Source organism: Homo sapiens, chromosome 3, assembly GCF_000001405.40.
Source record: "Homo sapiens chromosome 3, GRCh38.p14 Primary Assembly".
NCBI lineage: Eukaryota > Metazoa > Chordata > Mammalia > Primates > Hominidae > Homo > Homo sapiens.
In genome coordinates, this window is record NC_000003.12 from 140,634,034 (window position 1) to 140,652,911 (window position 18,878).

An 18,878-nucleotide genomic window follows, 5' to 3' on the forward strand; every position below is an offset into this window, starting at 1 on the left:
CACTGCTAACCTCTCCATTGTGTCACCCCTGGCAAATGGCAAAGCAGGACTGAAACACAGCCTGACATGACAGCTCGCACTCTGGCCATACCCAGAGAACATGGCCCGCAGAACACGGGCCACACCATGGCTTCCTTTAATTTTTACTAAAGTTTTTCAGCAGCTTCACCTCCCTACTATCTACCCAAAACAATTTCCCAACCCATGTTAATAACCCTCTGGGCACCCTCACATATACAAATGTGCAAATGTAGGGTTTTTGTCTTTCTTTTTTTAATAGGATCTCATGCATACATATGTGCATCTCACTATTCTCATTCAGCAATATTCCTGAAAACTTCAGGTAAACTGGTTTGACGCTAAATTATTCTTTTTATTGACTACATGGTATGAATGCATCATCATTTATTCAACCTTATGCCATTGTTGGGTGTTTATTTCCTGGGCTTATTGGTCGGTTTTTTGTTGTTAGTGTTGCTACATAAAACATTTTTATTGGGGTGATATCTATAAATAGATTCCCTGGAGTGAGATTATCATATTAAAAATTAAATGTATATATGCTTCTAGTTGTTATAATGAAGACTTTCAAACATGTAATGAACTCTATTGCCCAGTTTCAGCAGTTATCAACTTATGTCCAATCCAGTTACCTCTAATCTTTTATCCATTTCCCTACAGTGCAGATTATTTTGGAAGGAAAAAGAACAGATTACTTTATTGCTTTATCTGTAAATATTTCTGTCTGTATCTCCAAAAGTTGAAGACTTTTTTTAGTTTTCTTTTTTACCTCATGAACTAAGACAGAGGACTCTTAAATAACATAATCAATATCATAATCACATCTGAAAAAACTAATAATTTCTTCCTCATGATCCTGAGGTCATCTGGGTGTCTCTATCATTAGAATGCTTAGGGATGGCCAGGAGTCTCTCCTGCTAAAATGCCTGAGGTTGGCCAGGAGTCTCTCCTGTTAGAATGCCTGGGGTCGGCCAGGTGTCTCTCCTTAGAATGCCTGGGGTTTTCAATGTTTAATTTTGCTCAACTGAATCATAAATTTACACATTGTTCAAATCAACATATATATGTTTTATGCATTATAATTGGTTAATATGCCTCTTGTCTCTCAGGTCTCTCTTATCTATGCATTCCCTTCTTCACGTATCCATGTCTCTCTGTCCTTCTGTTGGTCCCTGCTCCCCTCCCCTTCTCTCTCTCTCTCCAACCCCCCATGTCAATAACTTTGTTGTAGAAACCAGGCCATTTGTCCCGCAGAGATTTCCACAATCTGGAATTTGAAAATTGCGTCACTACAATATTATTTAGCTTATTCCTCTGTCCCCAAAAATTGGTACTTAGATCTAGAAGCTTGGTAAGATTCAGGTTAGACGTTTTTGCAAGAATACTACAGGTAGTATTGTGTACTTCCATCAGGGGGCACATAATGTCTAATTGTCTCCCCTTGGCGCTATTAGCAGTCACTGATGATCTTGGTCTAGATTCTTCTTTTCAGTAGAAGCGGCAAAGGGGAGATACTTTTTAATTCTGCCCTTCACTTATTAGCTGGCATACTTCTATCAAGAGGAAATTCCCTTTATCAATTCATTCATTATCCTGAGCTGCAGTTCCTATAAGAAAGTCTATATAAATTATTCTTTTCCTTTATTTACCAGGTTTAAAAATAATGAATTAGTTGGTCAAGCATGGTGGTGACATCTATAATCTCAGCAATTTGGGAGGTTAAGGCGAGAGGATCACTTGAACCCAAGTTCAAGATGAGCCTGGCCAGTATACGGAGACCTCGTCTCTACATAAAGATTAAAAATTAACCAGACATGTTGACATATGTGCCCATAGTTATCTGGGGGGGCTGAGGTCGGAGGATCGCTTGAGCCTGAGTAGAGATCATGCCACTGGACTCCAGCCTGGGCAACAGAGTAAGACCCCCTCTCAAATAATTATAATAGAATTTGTTTTCTAGTGAGAGTTGTTGGGATCTTTGTTTCACTTATCTTTATGAACTCATGGATTTTAAATGTGAACAGAGGGTTAATAAAACTCGTGCTCTTTCTCTATGGAAAAATGACCTTGATTTAACTTTCTATATCGGTTTCCCTGGAAACCTAGTAAAGGTGGAATGTCAGCTATGTTACCAAGCAACATTTCCTATGGTAAAAATGACTTCTAAACTATACCTGCTCTGGGAGAACTGTCAATGAATTATAAATGCCTGGTGGGAATCCATAGTTTGAACTTCTCTGAATGCAGTGCATTCTTGACACTGTGATGCACCTTGCTAGGACCCCTGGAAGCTAATCCTATGGGATGAAAAACAGATATTACCTTATATGGAGAATAAGGCAGTAAGCCAGATGGCTCCCATACTCATTCTCTTAGACCAAGTTCTGCAAGAAACAGACTGTGTGAGAGAGATTTGCACCCAAGTTTACTGGGGAGTGTTTTTGGGGAATGAGGCCAACAGGACTGGACAGATTACTGGGGAGTGCTCTTGGGGAATGTGCTGAACAGGACTGGACATAGGAAAAAGCTAAACTGTAATATAGTTACAGCTGTAAACTTTAGCCAATTCCTCAAGGACCTCCTCACTAGCGTGGGCGGCCCTTAAAGTTGTCTCAATTTAGGCAGGGCTGCTCCCTGAATAGGGGAGTAACCCTGGGCAAGAAGGCAGCTTCCCTCCTCTGAAAGCAATTCCCAGCGAAAGATTCAGCTGTGACCTATGAGCAGCCAACACTCTAAGCAATTAGAGAATGAGTGCCTCAGTCCTACAAAGGTAACTGTGCAGCACACCACAGCATCACTATACCCACTCATTTGGCTTCATTTCTTCACACCTGACCCTGCCCTGCTGGAGTGCTGTTTTTCCTGTTCTACTGTTTATCTTACATTTCCTGCCCAGATCGGGAATCACTCATTCCTCCAAAATGCCCTACTTCCTTTTAGTCATACTCAGAGACTACTTTGGGGAAAAAACGAGACCCATTACTACTGGGTAAGTCATGGTCTCTGGGCCTTTTATGTGGCCAGTGTTAGAAATATTCTTTTTTCCAGATAAAATACATCGTGGGTTGATATTGATATTTCAGACTCAAATTCAGGACTATAAGATTTTCCTGACTTCAGGAGTTGCCCATCGGTCTGTCCTTTCTATGTCAAAAATTCTGATTCACATTGACATCAACATAATTCATCATTTGTTTTATTGTATAATACATGCACAACACTTTCAGAATAACACTACCCCTAACAATATGACTACTGAAATAATTTTTAAATTATCTTTGTTTTATTTGTTTTTAGGGATAAACCCCACTGGAGATGTACAGTAAAATTACTGCGCTCTAAACTAACTTGAAATAATTCCCCACCAACTTAGTTTGTACTTACACTCATTTGTTTCACTTTGCTTTTTTTACAATTGCTCTTTTTACTTTTGTTTATAATTATGTAAAATATTTTGATGATTTTAAAACCACTTCTTTAAGTTGAGATATGCAGTCCCTTCCACTCTGTTCCCACCTTTGATCATAAATCTAAGCTTTTGGTTTATCTTTCCATATCATATGAATATATAAAACAGAGACCTAAGATGTTTACTGAGATGAATGGTAGCATATTATATGTACATTTCTACACCTTGCTTTTTTCACTCAATAATATATCTTTAAAACCAGTTTAGAATGCTAGACAGGGGTTTTTCTTGTTGTTATAATAGCTGCAGTAGACACCATTGTGTGGACGCACCCTAGTTTATATAACCAGTTCCTACTGATGCATATTCAGATTGTCTCTAGTTTTGTGCACAAATAATGCCATAATCATCCAATAAATGATTTTTATTTTTGTCCATGTATCTTTGGGAAAGATCCTCAGAAATAGTATTGTTAAGTCAACAGGTAAATGTAATTTAGAGAGTTATGTCAAATTCCCTTCTAATAGGGTTTGTGTCATATAACATTCTCACCAGTAATGTATGGGAACGCCTGTTCCCTGAGTTTCGCTATGGAGTGTGTTCACAGTTTTTTTGAATTTTGATAATCTGATGGGCAAAAAATGTTATCTCAGTCTAGTTTTATTTTGCATTTCTATTATGAGCAAAAGTGAGCACATTTACATACAGTTACAGGCCATTTATGTTTTTTCTGTAAACTGTCATATTCTTAGCTCATTTTTCTATAGGAGTCTTGATCTTTTTCATTTAAAATTTTAAGAAGCTTTCAAGATGTTAAGGAAATCAAATCCTTGCCTATGATGCAGGCCACAAATTATTTCTAATTTTTTATTGGTCTTTCTACTTTGTTAGTGGGGTTGGTATTCTTGTGGGTGTTTTTTTTCTTTTTTTCTTTTTGCTGGCTCTGTCCTTTAAAAAATTGTTGTTGTAATTATCAGTTTTTCATTATCAATCTTTTTCCTTTATTGCTTTTGTATTTTGTGTCATAATTAGAAAGTTTTTCCCCAATCCCAGGTAATAAAGCAATTAACACAAGCTTTCTTCTATTACTTATAAGATTTTTTTTAACCACATTTAAATCTCTGATCCTTTCAGAATTTTCCCTGGTGGATAGTATGAGAAATGGATCCAATTTTGTTTTTATACATAAGTCTATCCAGTCCTCCTAACCCCATATGTTAAATACTCCTTTTCCATCACTGATTTGAAAAGATATCATTATCAGACATTAAATTTCCATTTGCAATTTGGTCTATTTGAATTTTTTTATTCTAGCAGTCAGTCTATTATTTTACCACTACCAATACTGTTTGAAATGAAAAGTTATTGTGTTTTAATATTTATTATAACATTGTAATATTTAATACAGTATTTATTGCACATGGGTTTCTCAAATCTTTAAAGATTTATCAGAATTCCCTGTCAAAAAATATTTGGTCCTGGCGCCCATTTGTGGGAGAGCTCATTTGTTATTTTCTCTACTGATTCTATGACAGTTGGTCTGTTTAGACTTTCTATTACTGCTGGGATCAATATGGCAAGTTGCATTTTTCTTAAAAAATGTCCATTTCATTTAGGTTTCACAATTAATTTGTTTCCATAGTTGTACACAATAGTCCAGTATAATCTTTTAGAATTTCTGTTTTGATTATTACATGTCACTTTTATTTTGCGTATTTACACTTTCTCCATTTTTTTTCTGCTAGATATGTGGGTGTTTTGACAATGCAGTTCATTTATTTTTCAAAGAATAAACTTTTTAGTTTATTTGTCATTTGTTTGTCGACAGAAGTTTTCTGATGCATTAATTTCTGCTTTTATCTTTATTAATTTCTTCCTTCTGCTCTTTGTTTACCTTGTTCTTTTACAGGCTCTTTGAATTGGGTCTTAACTCACTTCTACTTTTTATTTTTATTGATAAAGATAGTTAATATTATAAATTTTTCTTTGAAGACTGCTTTATATAGATTATAATAGGTCATGCTTTTATTATTTTATCTATAATAAATTATGCAATTTTTTTTGCATTTTTGCTTTGATCTAAATGTTACTTAATATATGTTTTTTTAAGTTCCTGGGAGGAAGATCCTTTGGATATTTCCTTTCCAGCATTAATTTCATTAATTTTTTCATTGTGACCAGAAAATATTATTCCTACTCCTTGGAATTTATGGAGGTTTTCTCTGATTGCTAAAATATGGTTAATTTTCATGAATGACTCATGTGCATTTGTTTTTGCTTTTTAAGTTTTAAGTTTGGGGGTACATGTGAAGGTTTGGTACACAGGTAAACATATGCCACCGGGGTTTGTTGTACATATTATTTCATCAGCCAGTTATTAAGCCCAGTACCCAATAGTTACCTTTTCTGCTCTTTTCCCTCCTCCCACTCTCCCCCCTCAAGTAAACCCCAGTATCTGTTCTTTCCTTCTTTTGTTCATAAGTTCTCATCATTTAGCTCCCACTTTTAAGTGAGAACATATGGTATTTGGTTTTCTGTTCCTGTGTTAGTTTGCTAAGGATAACAACCTCCAGCTTCATCCATGTTCCCACAAAAGACATGTGCCTTTTCTTTTTTATTGTGGAATAGTATTCCATGGTGCATGTATACCTCGTTTTCTTTATTCAATGTGTCACTGATGGGCATTTAGGTTGATTTGGAGTCTTTGCTGTTATGACTAGTGCTGCAATGAACATTCATGTGCATGTGTCTTTATGGTAGAATGATTTATACACCTCCGGGTATATACCCAGCAATGAGATTGCTGAGTTGAATGGCAGTTCTGCTTTTAGCTCTTTGAGGAATCGCCATACTGCTTTCCACAATGGTTGAACTAATTTACACTCCCACCAACAGTGTATAACTATTCCCTTTTCTCTGCAACCTCACTAGCATCTATTATTGTTTTACTTTTTAATCACAGCCATTCTGACAGGTGTGAGATGGTATCTCATTCTGGTTTTGATTTGCATTTGTCTGATGATCAGCGATACTGAGCTTTTTTTCATATGATTTTTGGTGGCATGTATGTCTTCTTTTAAAATGTGTCTGCTCATGACCTTTATCCACTTTTTAATGGGGTTGATTTTTCTCGTAAATTTGTTTAAGTTCCTTATAGGTGCTGGATATTAGACCTTTATCAGATGCATAGTTTCCAAATATTTTCTCCCATTCTGTAGATTGTCTATTTACTCTGTTGACAGTTTCTTTTGCTGTGCAGAAGCTCTACAGTTTATTTAGATCTCATTTGTCAATTTTTGCTTTTGTTGCAATTGCTTTCAGTGTCTTTGTCATGAAATAGTTGCCCATTCCTATGTCCAGGATGATACTGCCTCGGTTGTCTTACAGGTTTTTTTTTTTATAGTTTTGGGTTTTACATTTAAGTCTTTAATCTATCTTGAGTTAATTTTTGTATATGGTGTAAGGAAGGGGTCCAGCTTCAATCTTCTGCATATGGCTAGCCAGTTATTCCAGAACCATTTATTGAATAGGGAGTCTTTTCCCCACTGCTCATTTTTGTCAGCTTTGTCACAGATCAGATGGTCATAGAAGTGTGGCCTTATTTCTGGGCTCTTTATTCTGTTTTATTGGTCTACGTGCCTGTTTTTGTACCAGTACCATGCTGTTTTGGTCACTATAACCTTGTAGTATAAAGTTGAGTAACATCATGCCTCCAGCTTCATTCTTTTTGCTTAGGATTGCTGTGGCAATTTGGGCCCTTTTTTGGTTCTATATGAAATTTAAAATAAATTTATCTAGTTCTATAAAGAATGTCATTGGTAGTTTGATAGGAATAGCATTGAATCTGTAAATTGCTGTGGACAGTATAGCCATTTTAATGACACTGATTCTTCTTATCCGTGAGCATGGGATGTTTCTCCATTTGTTTGTGTCTTCTCTGATTTTTTTGAGCAATATTTTGTAATTTTCATTGTAGAGATCTTTCATCTTCCTGGTTAGCTGTATTCCTAGGTATTTTATTCTTTTTGTGGCACTTGGAATGGGATTGCCTTTCTGACTTGGCTCTCCATTTGGCTGTTGTTGGAGTAAAGGAATGCTAGTTATTTTTGTACACTGATTTTGTATCCTTCAACTTTGCTGAAGTTATTTATCAGCTGGAGGAGCTTTTGGGCCAAGACTATGGAATTTTCTAGATACAGAATCATGTCATCTGTAAACAGAGATAGTTTGACTTCGTCTCTTCATATTTGGATGCCTTTTATTTCTTTCTCTTGCCTGATTGTTCTGGCTAGGACTTCCAATACTATGTTGAATAGAAGTGGTAAGAGAGGGCATCCTTGTCTTGTGCTAGTTTTCAAGGGGAATGTTTCTAGGCTTTGCCCATTCAATATAATGTTGGCTGTGGGTTTGTCATACATGGCTCTTATTTTGAGGTATGTTCCTTCAACACCTAGTTTATTGAAAGTTTTTAACATTAATGAATGTTGAATTTTACGAAAAGCCTTTTCTGCATCTATTGAGATAATCATGTGGTTTCTGTCTTTTTATGTGATGAATCACATTTATTGATTTGGGTATGTTGAATCAACCTTGCATCCTGGGAGGAAGCCCATTTGATCACAGTAGATTTGTTTTTGGATGTGCTGTTGGACTCAGTTTGCAAGTATTTTGTTGAGGATTTTTGCATCAATGTTCATTAAGAATAACAAATGGGAGAAAATTTTCGCAACCTACTCATCTTGCAAAGGGCTAATATCCAGAATCTACAATGAACTCAAACAAATTTACAAGAAAAAAACAAACAACCCCACCAAAAAGTGGGCGAAGGACATCATGAACAGACACTTCTCAAAAGAAGACATTTATGCAGCCAAAACACACATGAAAAAATGCTCACCATCACTGGCCATCAGAGAAATGCAAATCAAAATCACAATGAGATACCATCTCACACCAGTTAGAATGGCAATCATTCAAAAGTCAGGAAACAGGTGCTGGAGAGGATGTGGAGAAATAGGAACACTTTTACACTGTTGGTGGGACTGTAAACTAGTTCAACCATTGTGGAAGTCAGTGTGGTGATTCCTCAGGGATCTAGAACTAGAAATACCATTTGACCCAGCAATCCCATTACTGGGTATATACCCAAAAGACTATAAATCATGCTGCTGTAAAGACACATGCACACGTATGTTTATTGCGGCACTATTCACAATAGCAAAGACTTGGAACCAACCCAAATGTCCAACAATGATAGACTGGATTAAGAAAATGTGGCACATATACACCATGGAATACTATGCAGCCATAAAAAATGATGAGTTCATGTCCTTTGTAGGGACATGGATGAAATCGGAAATCATCATTCTCAGTAAACTATCGCAAGGACAAAAAAACAAACACCGCATGTTCTCACTCATAGATGGGAACTGAACAATGAGAACACACGGACACAGGAAGGGGAACATCACACTCTGGAGACTGTTGTGGGGTGGAGGGAGGGGGGAGGGATAGCATTAGGAGATATACCTAATGCTAAATGATGAGTTAATGGGTGCAGCACACCAGCATGGCACATGTATACATATGTAACTAACCTGCACATTGTGCACATGTACCCTAAAACTTAAAGTATAATAATAATAAAATAAAACAAAAAGAATATTGGCCTGACGTTTTTGTTGTTGTTGTTGTGTCTCTGCCAGGTTTTGGTATCAAGCTGATGATGATTTCATAGAATTAGTTGGGGAGGAGTTCCTCCTCATTTTTTTGGAATTGTTTCTGTAGGAATGGTACCAGCTCTTCTTTGTACATCTGGTAGAATTCAGCTGTGAAACTATCAGATCCCAGGCTTTTTTTGGTTCACAGGCTATTTAGTACTCATTCAATTCTGGGACTTGTTATTGGTCTGTTCAGGGAATCAGTTTTTCCCCACTCAGTTGTGGGTGGGTATATCTATCTCTTTTCTAATGTGTGTATGTAGAGGTGTTTGTAGAAGCTTCTGATGGTTGTTTTTATTTCTGTGGGGTCAGTAGTAACATTCCCTTCATCATTTCTAATTGTGTTTATTGGGATATTTTTTCTTCTTTATTAATCTAGCTAATGGCCTATTTTATTATTTTTTTCAAAAAAATCAACCCTTGAATTCATTGATCTTTTTTTTATTATTATACTTTAAGTTCTGGGGTATGTGTGCAGAACATGCAGGTTTGTTACATAGGTATACACGTGCCATGGTGGTTTGCTCCACCCATCAATCCATCACCTACATTAGGTATTTCTCCTAATGCTATCCCTCCCTTAGCCCCCCAACCCCTGACAGGCTGGTGTGTGATGTTCCCCTCCCTGTGTCCATGTGTTCTCATTGTTCAACTCCCACTTAGGAGTGAGAACATGTGGTGCTTTGTTTTCCATAGTTGTGATAGTTTGCTGAGAATGATGGTTTCCAGCTTCATCCATGTCCCTGCAAAGGACATGAACTCATCCTTTTTCATGGCTACATAGTATTCCATGGTGTATATGTGCCACATTTTGTTTATCCAGTCTATCATTGATGGGCTTTTGGGTTGGTTCCAAGTCTTTGCTATTGTGAACAGTGCTGCAATAAACATATGTGTGCAAGTGTCTTTATAGTAGCATGATTTATAATCCTCTGGGTATATATCCAATAATGGGATTGCTGGGTCAAATGGTATTTCTAGTTCTAGATCCTTGAGGAATCACTACACCATCTTCCACAATGGTTGAACCAATTTACACTCCCACCAACAGCGTAAAAGCGTTCCTATTTCTCCACATCCTCTCTAGCATCTGTTGTTTCCTGACTTTTTAATGATCACCATTCTAACTGGCATGAGATGGTATGTCATTGTGGTTTTGATTTGCATTTCTCTAAGGACCAGTGATGAGCATTTTTTCATATGTTTGTTTGCTACATAAATGACTTCTTTTGAGAAGTGCCTGTTCATATCCTTTGCCCACTTTCTGATGGGGTTGTTTGGTTTTTTTCTTACAAATTTGTTTAAGTTGTTTGTAGATTCTGGATATTAGCCCTTTGTCAGATGGATAGATTGCAAAAATTATCTCCCATTCTCTAGGTTGCCTGTTCGCTCTGATGATAGTTTCTTTTGCTCTGCAGAAGCTCTTTAGTTTAATTAGATCCCATTTGTCAACTTTGGCTTTTGTTACCATTGATTTTGGTGTTTTAGACATGAAGTCTTTGCTCATGTCTGTTTCCTGAATGGTATTGCCTAGGTTTTCTTCTAGGATCTTTATGGTTTTAGGTCTTACATTTAAGTCTTTAATCCATCTTGAGTTGATTTGTGTATAAGGTATAAGGAAGGGGTCCAGTTTCAGTTTTCTACACATGGCTAGCCAGTTTTCCCAACACAATTAATTAAATAGGGAATCTTTTCCCCATTGCTTGTTTGTGTCAGGTTTGTCAAAGATCAGATGGTTGTAGGTGTGTGTGGTGTCACCGATCTTTTGAATGTTTTTTTCTGTCTCAATTTTCTTCAGTTCAGCTCTGATTTTTGTTATTTCTCATTTTCTGCTAGCTTTGTGATTTGTTCTTGCTTCTCTAATTCTTTCAGTTGTCAAGTTAAGTGGTTAATTTGTTATCTTTCTAACTTTTTGATGTGGACATTTAGTGCTATGAGTTCTCCTATTAACACTGCCTTAGCTGTGTCCCAGAAATTCTGGTATGTTGTATTTTTGTTTTCATTATTTGCAAAGAACTTCTTGATTTCTGCCTTAATTTCATTATTTACCCAAATGTCATTTAGGAGCATGTTGTTTAATTTTCATGTAATTACATGATTTTGAGCAATTTTCACAGTCTTGACTTCCATTTTTATTATGCTGTGGTCCAAGACCATGTCTGGTATGATTTTGGTTCTTTTACATTTGTTGAGATTGTTTTATATCCAATTATGTGGTTGATTTTAGAGTATGTGCCATGTGATGATGAGAAGAATGTATATTCAATTGTTTTGGGGTGGAGAGTTCTGTAGATATCAGATCCATTTAACCCAATGTTAAGTTTAGGTCCTGAATATCTTTACTTTTCTCCCTCAGTGATCTGTCCAATACTGTCAGTGGAGTGTTGAAGTCTCCCACTATTATTATGTGAGACTGTATGTCTCTTTGTAGGTCTCCAAGAACTTGCTTTATGAATCTGGGTGCATATGAATCTGTGTTGGGTGCATGTATATTTATGATAGTTAGGTCTTATTGAATTGAACCATCTATGATTATCTAATCCTCTTTTTTCTTTGTTGGTTTGAAATGTTTTGTCTGAAATTAGTATTACAACCCCTGCTTTTTTCTGTTTTCCATTTGCTTGGTAGATTTTCCTCCATCCCTTCATTTTGGGCCTAGGAGTGTCATTACATGTGATATGAGTCTCTTGAAGACAGCATTTACAATTGGCTCTTGCTTTTTTACAATTGGCTCTTGCTTTTTTATCCATCTTGCTACTCTGTGCCTTTTAAGTGGGGCATTTAACCTGTTTATATTCAAGGTTAGTATTGGTATGTGTGGATTTGATTCTGTCAATGTGCTGTTAGCTGGTTATTATGTTGGCTTGTTTGTGTGGTTGCTTTACAGTGTCACTAAGTCTGTGTGTTTTTATATTAGCTGATAGAGTTCTTTTCTTTCTATATTAGTGCTCCTTTCAAGATCTCTTGTAAGGTAATTAATTCCCTCAACATTTGCCTATCTGAAAAGGATCTTATTTTTCCTTTATTTAGGAAGCTTAGTTTGGCTGAATATGTAATTCTTGAAGATTTTTTTAAGAATGTTGAAGATAGGCCCTCAATTTCTTCTGGCTTGTAGGGTTTCAGCTGAGAGGTAAGCTGTTATCCTGATGGAGTTCCCTTTGTATGTGACCAGTCCTTTCTCTCTAGTTGCCTGTAACATATTTTTTTCATTTTGATCTTGGAAAATCTGATAATTATGTGTCTTGGGGATGATCTTGTGTAGAGTCTTGCAGGAGTTCTCTGTATTTCCTGAATTTGACTGTTGGCCTCTCTAGCAAGGCTGAAGAAGTTTTCATGGATGATATTCTGAAATATGTTTTCCAAGTTGTTTGCTTTCTCCTCCTCTCTTTCAGGGATGCCAGTGATTCATAGATTTGGCCTCTTTACATAATCCCATACTTCTTGGAGGTTTTGCTTATTCTTTTTTTCTTTATTTTTGTCTGGCTGCCTTATTTCAGAGCACCAGTCTTCAAGTTCTGAGATTCTTTCCTCAGTTTAGTTTATTCTACTGTTAATACTTGTGAATGCATTGTGAAATTCTTGTATTGTGTTATTCAGCTCTGTCAGACCTGTTAGTTTCTTTTTTGTACTGACTACTTCATTCTTCAGCTCCTGTATTGCTTTATTGTGATTCTTATTTTCCTTGAATTGGGTTTTCCTATCGTCCTGAATCCTGATGATCTTAGTTGTTATTTATATTCTGAATTCTATTTCTGTCATTCTAGCCAGTTCAGCTTGGTTAAGAACTCCTGTTGGAGAATTGGCACAATTATTTGGAGGACAAATGATAGATACTCTGGCCATCTGAGTTACCAGAGTTCTTGCACTGGTTCTTTCTCATCTCTGCATGTGGGTGTTTTTTTTAACTGCAGAGTAGATTGAGTACAGTCAATACACTTATTTTCCAGATGTCTTGACTGGGCCAAGACTTTGTGCAGGATCTTTATTTGAAGCTGGTTTCTGTCTCTGGATTCAAAGGAAGATATGTTAGTGAGGCATTTTTGGTGTTGAAGGTTTAGGGTGCGATTCAGCAGGTGGAACTTAGGTTTATTGGTCAGTTGGTAGACTCTTACTTGGTTGTGTGGCTCCCTTATGTTCTGTCACAGTTGCAACCATGTTCCCTGCCAAAGCTTTGAAAGTGTGGGTTCCTCTCTCCCTTGAGTGATGGCTATAGATTGTAACTGGGCATTCCTGGGCTGCCCACTGCAGCTCTGAGATGATCTCCGTGTTTGTGTCCCTTCCCCAACTTGGAGGTAGTAGAGAAAGGGATCTTAGTAGTGGCTGTGTCCAAGGGTCATTTGCGTGTCTCCTGGCAGCTCATACCCCAGAGAGATGCAGGCCAGCAATCACTCAGTGCAATCAGCCTAGGATGGAGGGTCTGTTCTATGGGCCCAAGCCAGGGGTTTCCTGTCTTGTGATGAGCAGTAGGGGGCAGGGGGAACCCTTGGGAGAGAGACTGGACACTTCTCCTTGGGTTGACTGCAGCTTGTTGGAGGTATGGATAAGGCACTTAGGGTCTTTGGTCCTTCATTAGTACAAGGGTGGCAAGGGCAGTTCCACTGCCAGGCTTTCAGTTGCCCCTGGAGGCTCTCTGTCTGGGGAGTTGCCAAGTTGCTATTGGCTCAATAGCTCTGGTGAGGGGTGGCTGGAGGCCCAGGCCTGGAGGACCTGCCTTGTGAAGAGATACGGGAACGAGCACCCATGTAACAATCTGGCCACTTTTCCATAGAGCTGCTGTAGTATGCTTGGGGCCCATTCCATTCCCTGTTACCACAGAGGCAAGTTAGTGCTTTCTTTGTAATTAGACTATATCTGATATCTGTACAATATCTTCAGTTCTTCTTTACCAGGGGTCTTACTCTGTTCTGAAACATGGTATCTCAGGCAGCTCCAGCACCACTGGACACAGGAAACTCCTGGGTCTCTGACTCTAGCTCTCCTCAACCCCTTCTCTCATGTGCATTTGAAAAGATGGTCTGTTGTCTGTTACTAGGATTCAGAAGTATTCATTATATTCTTTAGATTTACAATCTTACAAATGTTTGTACAGTTGATCAGTCTTTGATTGAAGAGCTGTATTAAAGTCTTTAATTTTTTTATAGGTGAGTTAAGCCTATTTATGTTGTTTGATTTGAGCAGTATTGTTGGCTTTACTTCTATCATATTATTTTATATTGTACTTTTATTTTTACTATATATACAAAGACTATATTTAAGCTATATGCTCTATTTATGTTCTCCATTTTAGATATTTTTCCATTTAAAAATTATTTGTTTAATGGTTACTATACCAGATTAAAGATAGTGAAAAAAAATTCTACTCTTATATTGAGAAATAAAGTCTATAAAGTCTAATTCTTCCCCTTAAATCTTGTCTGGCTTTAGTAACTGCTTGATCAATAGAATGCAGCAGAAATGGTGTTGTAAGACATCAATATTAGGTCATAAAATGCCTAGTATCTGTCACACAGATCCCTTAAAACATTTTCCCTGAGAGCCTGAGCTGCCATATAAGAAGTTTGATTACTTGAGGCCACCAAACTAAAGAGACCATGGCAGTCTTAGCTGAACCCAGTCTTTGAATGAACTCTGCCAAAGTGGCAGACATGTGAGAAAAGCCAACTTGAATGTTTCAGAGTAGAAGACTTCTTAGTTCCAAGTCATTAAACAAATCTATGTCCAATCATTAGCTGACCATTAAGTTAACAGAATAGAGATTTCAGTGACCACACATAAAAAGAATACAGACCTTACAGAATTTGTTCAGAAAGTTACCTAGCAAACCAAAACTATAAGCAGCAACAACTAACCCTGGGGAAGGCAGAGTTTGAATTCCAGAATTCAGATTATTATCTTTGAAATGTCTGGCTTATTACTCTGTTTTTGTATTACTATAAATATATACCTGAGACTGGGTAATTATTAAAAAAAAATTCGCTCATCGTTCTGCAGGCTGTACAAGAAATACAGTGACTTCTGCTTCTGGGGAGGCCTCAGGAAACTTACAATCATGGTGTAAGGTGAAGGGAGACCCAAGATTTCACATGGCCAGAACAGGAGGAAGAGAGAGTAGGGGGAGGTAATAAATACTTTTAAACAACCAGATTTCATGAGAACTCTCTCACTAACACAAGAACAGCACCAAAGGGGATGGTGTTAAGCCATTCCTGAGAAACTGCTCCCATGATCCAATCACATCCCACCAGGTCCCACCTGCAACACTGGGGATTACAATTCAACATGAGATTTGGCTAGGTACACAGAACCAAACCATATCATCTCGTTATCAACAAAAAATTACAAGACATACAAAAAAAGAAAAAAAAGAGAAAGTATGGCCCATTCATGGAAAAAAAACAAGCAGTCAATATATATTATCCCTGAAGTGCAGACATTGGTTTTCTAGGAAAGGACTCAGAATTCACTATTTTAAAAAACATTGAAGAACTAAAGGAATTTATGCCTGCAGAACTAAATGAAAGTCTAAGAACAATAATAAAGATTATGAGTAAAGAGAAACATTAAAAAAAAGAAATTCAGCAGTCCATTAAAAAAAAATAGAAATTCAGGATGATGTAAGACATCATTGTCAGGCATGGTGCTTCATGTCTGTAATCCCAGCACTTTGGGAGGCTGAGGCGGGCAGATCATGAGGTCAGGAGATCGAGACCATCCTGGCTAACATGGTGAAACCCCACCTCTACTAAAAATAGAAAAAACTAGCCAGGCGTGGTGGCACGCACCTGTAGTCCCAGCTACTTGGGAAGCTGAGGCAGGATAATCGCTTGAACCCAGGAGGTGGAGGTTGCAGTGAGCCAAGATCCCACCACTGCACTGCCTGGACAACAGAGCAAGACTCCATCTCAAAAAAAAAAAAGACATCATCAAGCATACTAGCATAGGCTGGTATACGGTAATTATAGAAGTACAAAAGAGAGAGAATGAGGAAGAAAGAAAATTGAAGAAATAATGGCTAAAAACTTCCCAAAGTTGATGAAAAACACGAAGCTACATATCAAAAATCTCCACAAATTCAAAACATAATAATAAACTCCAAGATATTCACCCTGGACACATCATAATCAAACTATTCAGATAGAAACTTGAAAAAATAAGAGAAAAGCAATGAATTTACTTATCTCACATGAGAAGTGAATCACACACAATCTTCAGTAAGATTAACAGTAGATTTCTCCTCAGAAATAATGGAAGCCAAGACTACAGGGAGGCAGAGCAAGATGGCCAAAGAGAAATTTCCATCAATCATCCCCTGCCCGGGAACACCAAATTGAACCACTATTCACACACACAAAAAAACCACTTTCATAAAATCCAAAACTCAGGTGAGCAATCACAGTACCTGTTTTTAACATCATAGTAAGAAAAGAGGCACTGAAGGGGGTAGAAAACATAGTCTTGAATCACCTGCAACACACCCCTCTCTCATTCCCTGGCGGCAGCTGCGTGGCACACAGAGAGAATGTATGTGCTTGGGGGAGGGAGAGCAAAGTGATTGTGGGATTTTGCATTGGAACTCAGTGCTGTCCTGTCACAGCAGAAAGCAACACAGGGCAGAACTCAGTGGCACCCACAGAAGGATCATTTAGATAAGCCATAGCCAGAGGCAGATTGTCTATCCCAGCAGTTGAAACCTAAGTACTGGCAAGCCCCTCTACTGTTAGATAAGGTTCTCTGGGGTCCTAACTAAACTTGAAAGGCAATCTAGGCCACAAGGTCTGCAATTCCTGGGCAAGTCCTGGTGCTGTGCTGGGATTAAAGCCATTGGACTTGGGGTGCACATGACCTAGTGAGACACCAGCTAGGGTGACCAAGGGCTTGTGTCACCCCTCCCCGACCCTAGACAGCTCAGCTCACAGCTCTGGGAGAAACTCCTTTCTTCTGCTTGAGGAGAGGAGAAAAGACAGTAAAGAGGACTTTGTCTTGCAGCGTGAATACCAGCTCAACCACAGTAGAGCAGGGCACCAGGAGGGGTTGGGAGGCCACTATTCCAGGCCCTAGTGAGAGGTGACAGCGTGCTGGCAGCCCTCGCAGCCCTCACTCACTCTCGGTGCCTCCTCGGCCTCAGCGCCTATTCTGGCCGCGCTTGAGGAGCCCTTCAGCCTGCCACTGCACCGTGGGAGCCCTTCTCTGGGCTGGCCGAGGCCGGAGCTGGCTCCCTTGGCTTGCAGGGAGGTGTGGAGGGAGAGGCGCGGGTGGGAACCGGGGCTTTGTGTGGTGCTTGTGGGCCAGCGTGAGTTCCGGGTGGGTGTGGGCTCGGCGGGCCCTGCACTGGGAGCAGCCGGCCGGCCCCGCCGGCCCAGGCAGTGAGGGGCTTAGCACCTGGGCCAGCAGCTGCTGCACTCGATTTCTCGCCGGGCCTTAGCTGCCTCCTCATGGGGCAGGGCTCATGACCTACAGCCCACCATGCCTGAGCCTCCCCCCACCACTCCCGCCCCACCATGGGCTCCTGTGCGGCTGGAGCACCCCCAACAAGCACTGCCCCCTGCTCCACAGGGTCCAGTCCCATCGACCACCCAAGGGCTGAGGAGTGTGGGCGCACAGCACGGGACTGGCAGGCAGCTCCACCTGTGGCCCTGGTGTGGGATCCACTGGGTGAAGCCAGCTGGGCTCCTGAGTCTGGTGGGGACTTGGAGAATCTTTATGTCTAGCTAAGGGATTGTAAATACACCAATCAGCACTCTGTATCTAGCTCAAGGTTTGTAAACACACCAATCAGCACCCTGTGTCTAGCTCAGGGTTTGTGAATGCACCAATCGGCACTCTGTATCTAGTTAATCTGGCGGGGACTTGGAGAACCTTTATGTCTAGCTAAGGGATTGTGAATGCACCAATCAGCACTCTGTATCTAGCTCAAGGTTTGTAAATGCATCAATCAGCACTCTGTGTCTAGCTCAGGGTTTGTAAATACACCAATCAACACTCTTTATCTAGCTAATCTAGTGGGGACGTGGAGAACTTTTGTGTCTAGCTCAGGGATAGTAAACGCACCAATCAGCATCCTGTCAAAATGGACCGATCAGCTCTCTGTAAAACAGACCAATCGGCTCTCTGTAAAATGGACCAATCAGCAGGTCAGCAGGATGTGGGTGGGGCCAGATAAGAGAATAAAAGCAGGCTGCCAGAGCCAGCAGTGGCAACCCGCTCGGGTCCCCTTCCACACTGTGGAAGCTTTGTTCTTTCGCTCTTTGCAATAAATCTCGCTGCTGCTTACTCTTTGGGTCCATACTGCCTTTATGAGCTGTAACACTCACTGCGAAGGTCTGCAGCTTCACTCCTGAAGCCAGCGAGACCATGAACCCCCCGGGAGGAATGAACAACTCCAGATATGCCACCTTAAGAGCTGTAACACTCACCGCAAAGGTCTGCATCTTCATTCCTGAGCCAGCGAGACCACAAACCCACCAGAAGGAAGAAACTCCGAACACATCCGAACATCAGAAGGAACAAACTCCGGACACGCCACCTTTAAGAACTGTAACACTCACCACGAGGGTCCACGGCTTCATTCTTGAAGTCAGTGAGACCAAGAACCCACCAATTCCAGACACACTAGCTTCCAGAGGACATTTCTAGACACACTTTGGGCCAGAAGGGACCCACTGCCTTGAAGTTAAGAACCCAGTCCTGGAAGGATTCATCATCTGCTAACTAAAGTACCCTTGGGCCCG

General features: G+C 39.5%; 1 long non-coding RNA gene across 3 annotated transcripts in view; it reads right to left on the reverse strand.

Annotated features, from left to right (window-relative positions):
* Positions 1 to 18,878, reverse strand: part of LOC102724068 (uncharacterized) — a 96,106-nt gene that overhangs the window by 52,136 nt on the left and 25,092 nt on the right. For 2 of the 3 annotated variants that reach the window (XR_001740935.3, XR_001740934.3), the window contains exon 4: positions 2,198 to 2,318. The exons of the other annotated variant lie outside the window; for it this stretch is intronic. This is a non-coding gene — a long non-coding RNA (uncharacterized LOC102724068). Of the gene's footprint in view, positions 1 to 2,197; positions 2,319 to 18,878 lie in introns of those variants that run through there. 3 annotated transcript variants of the gene reach the window in all.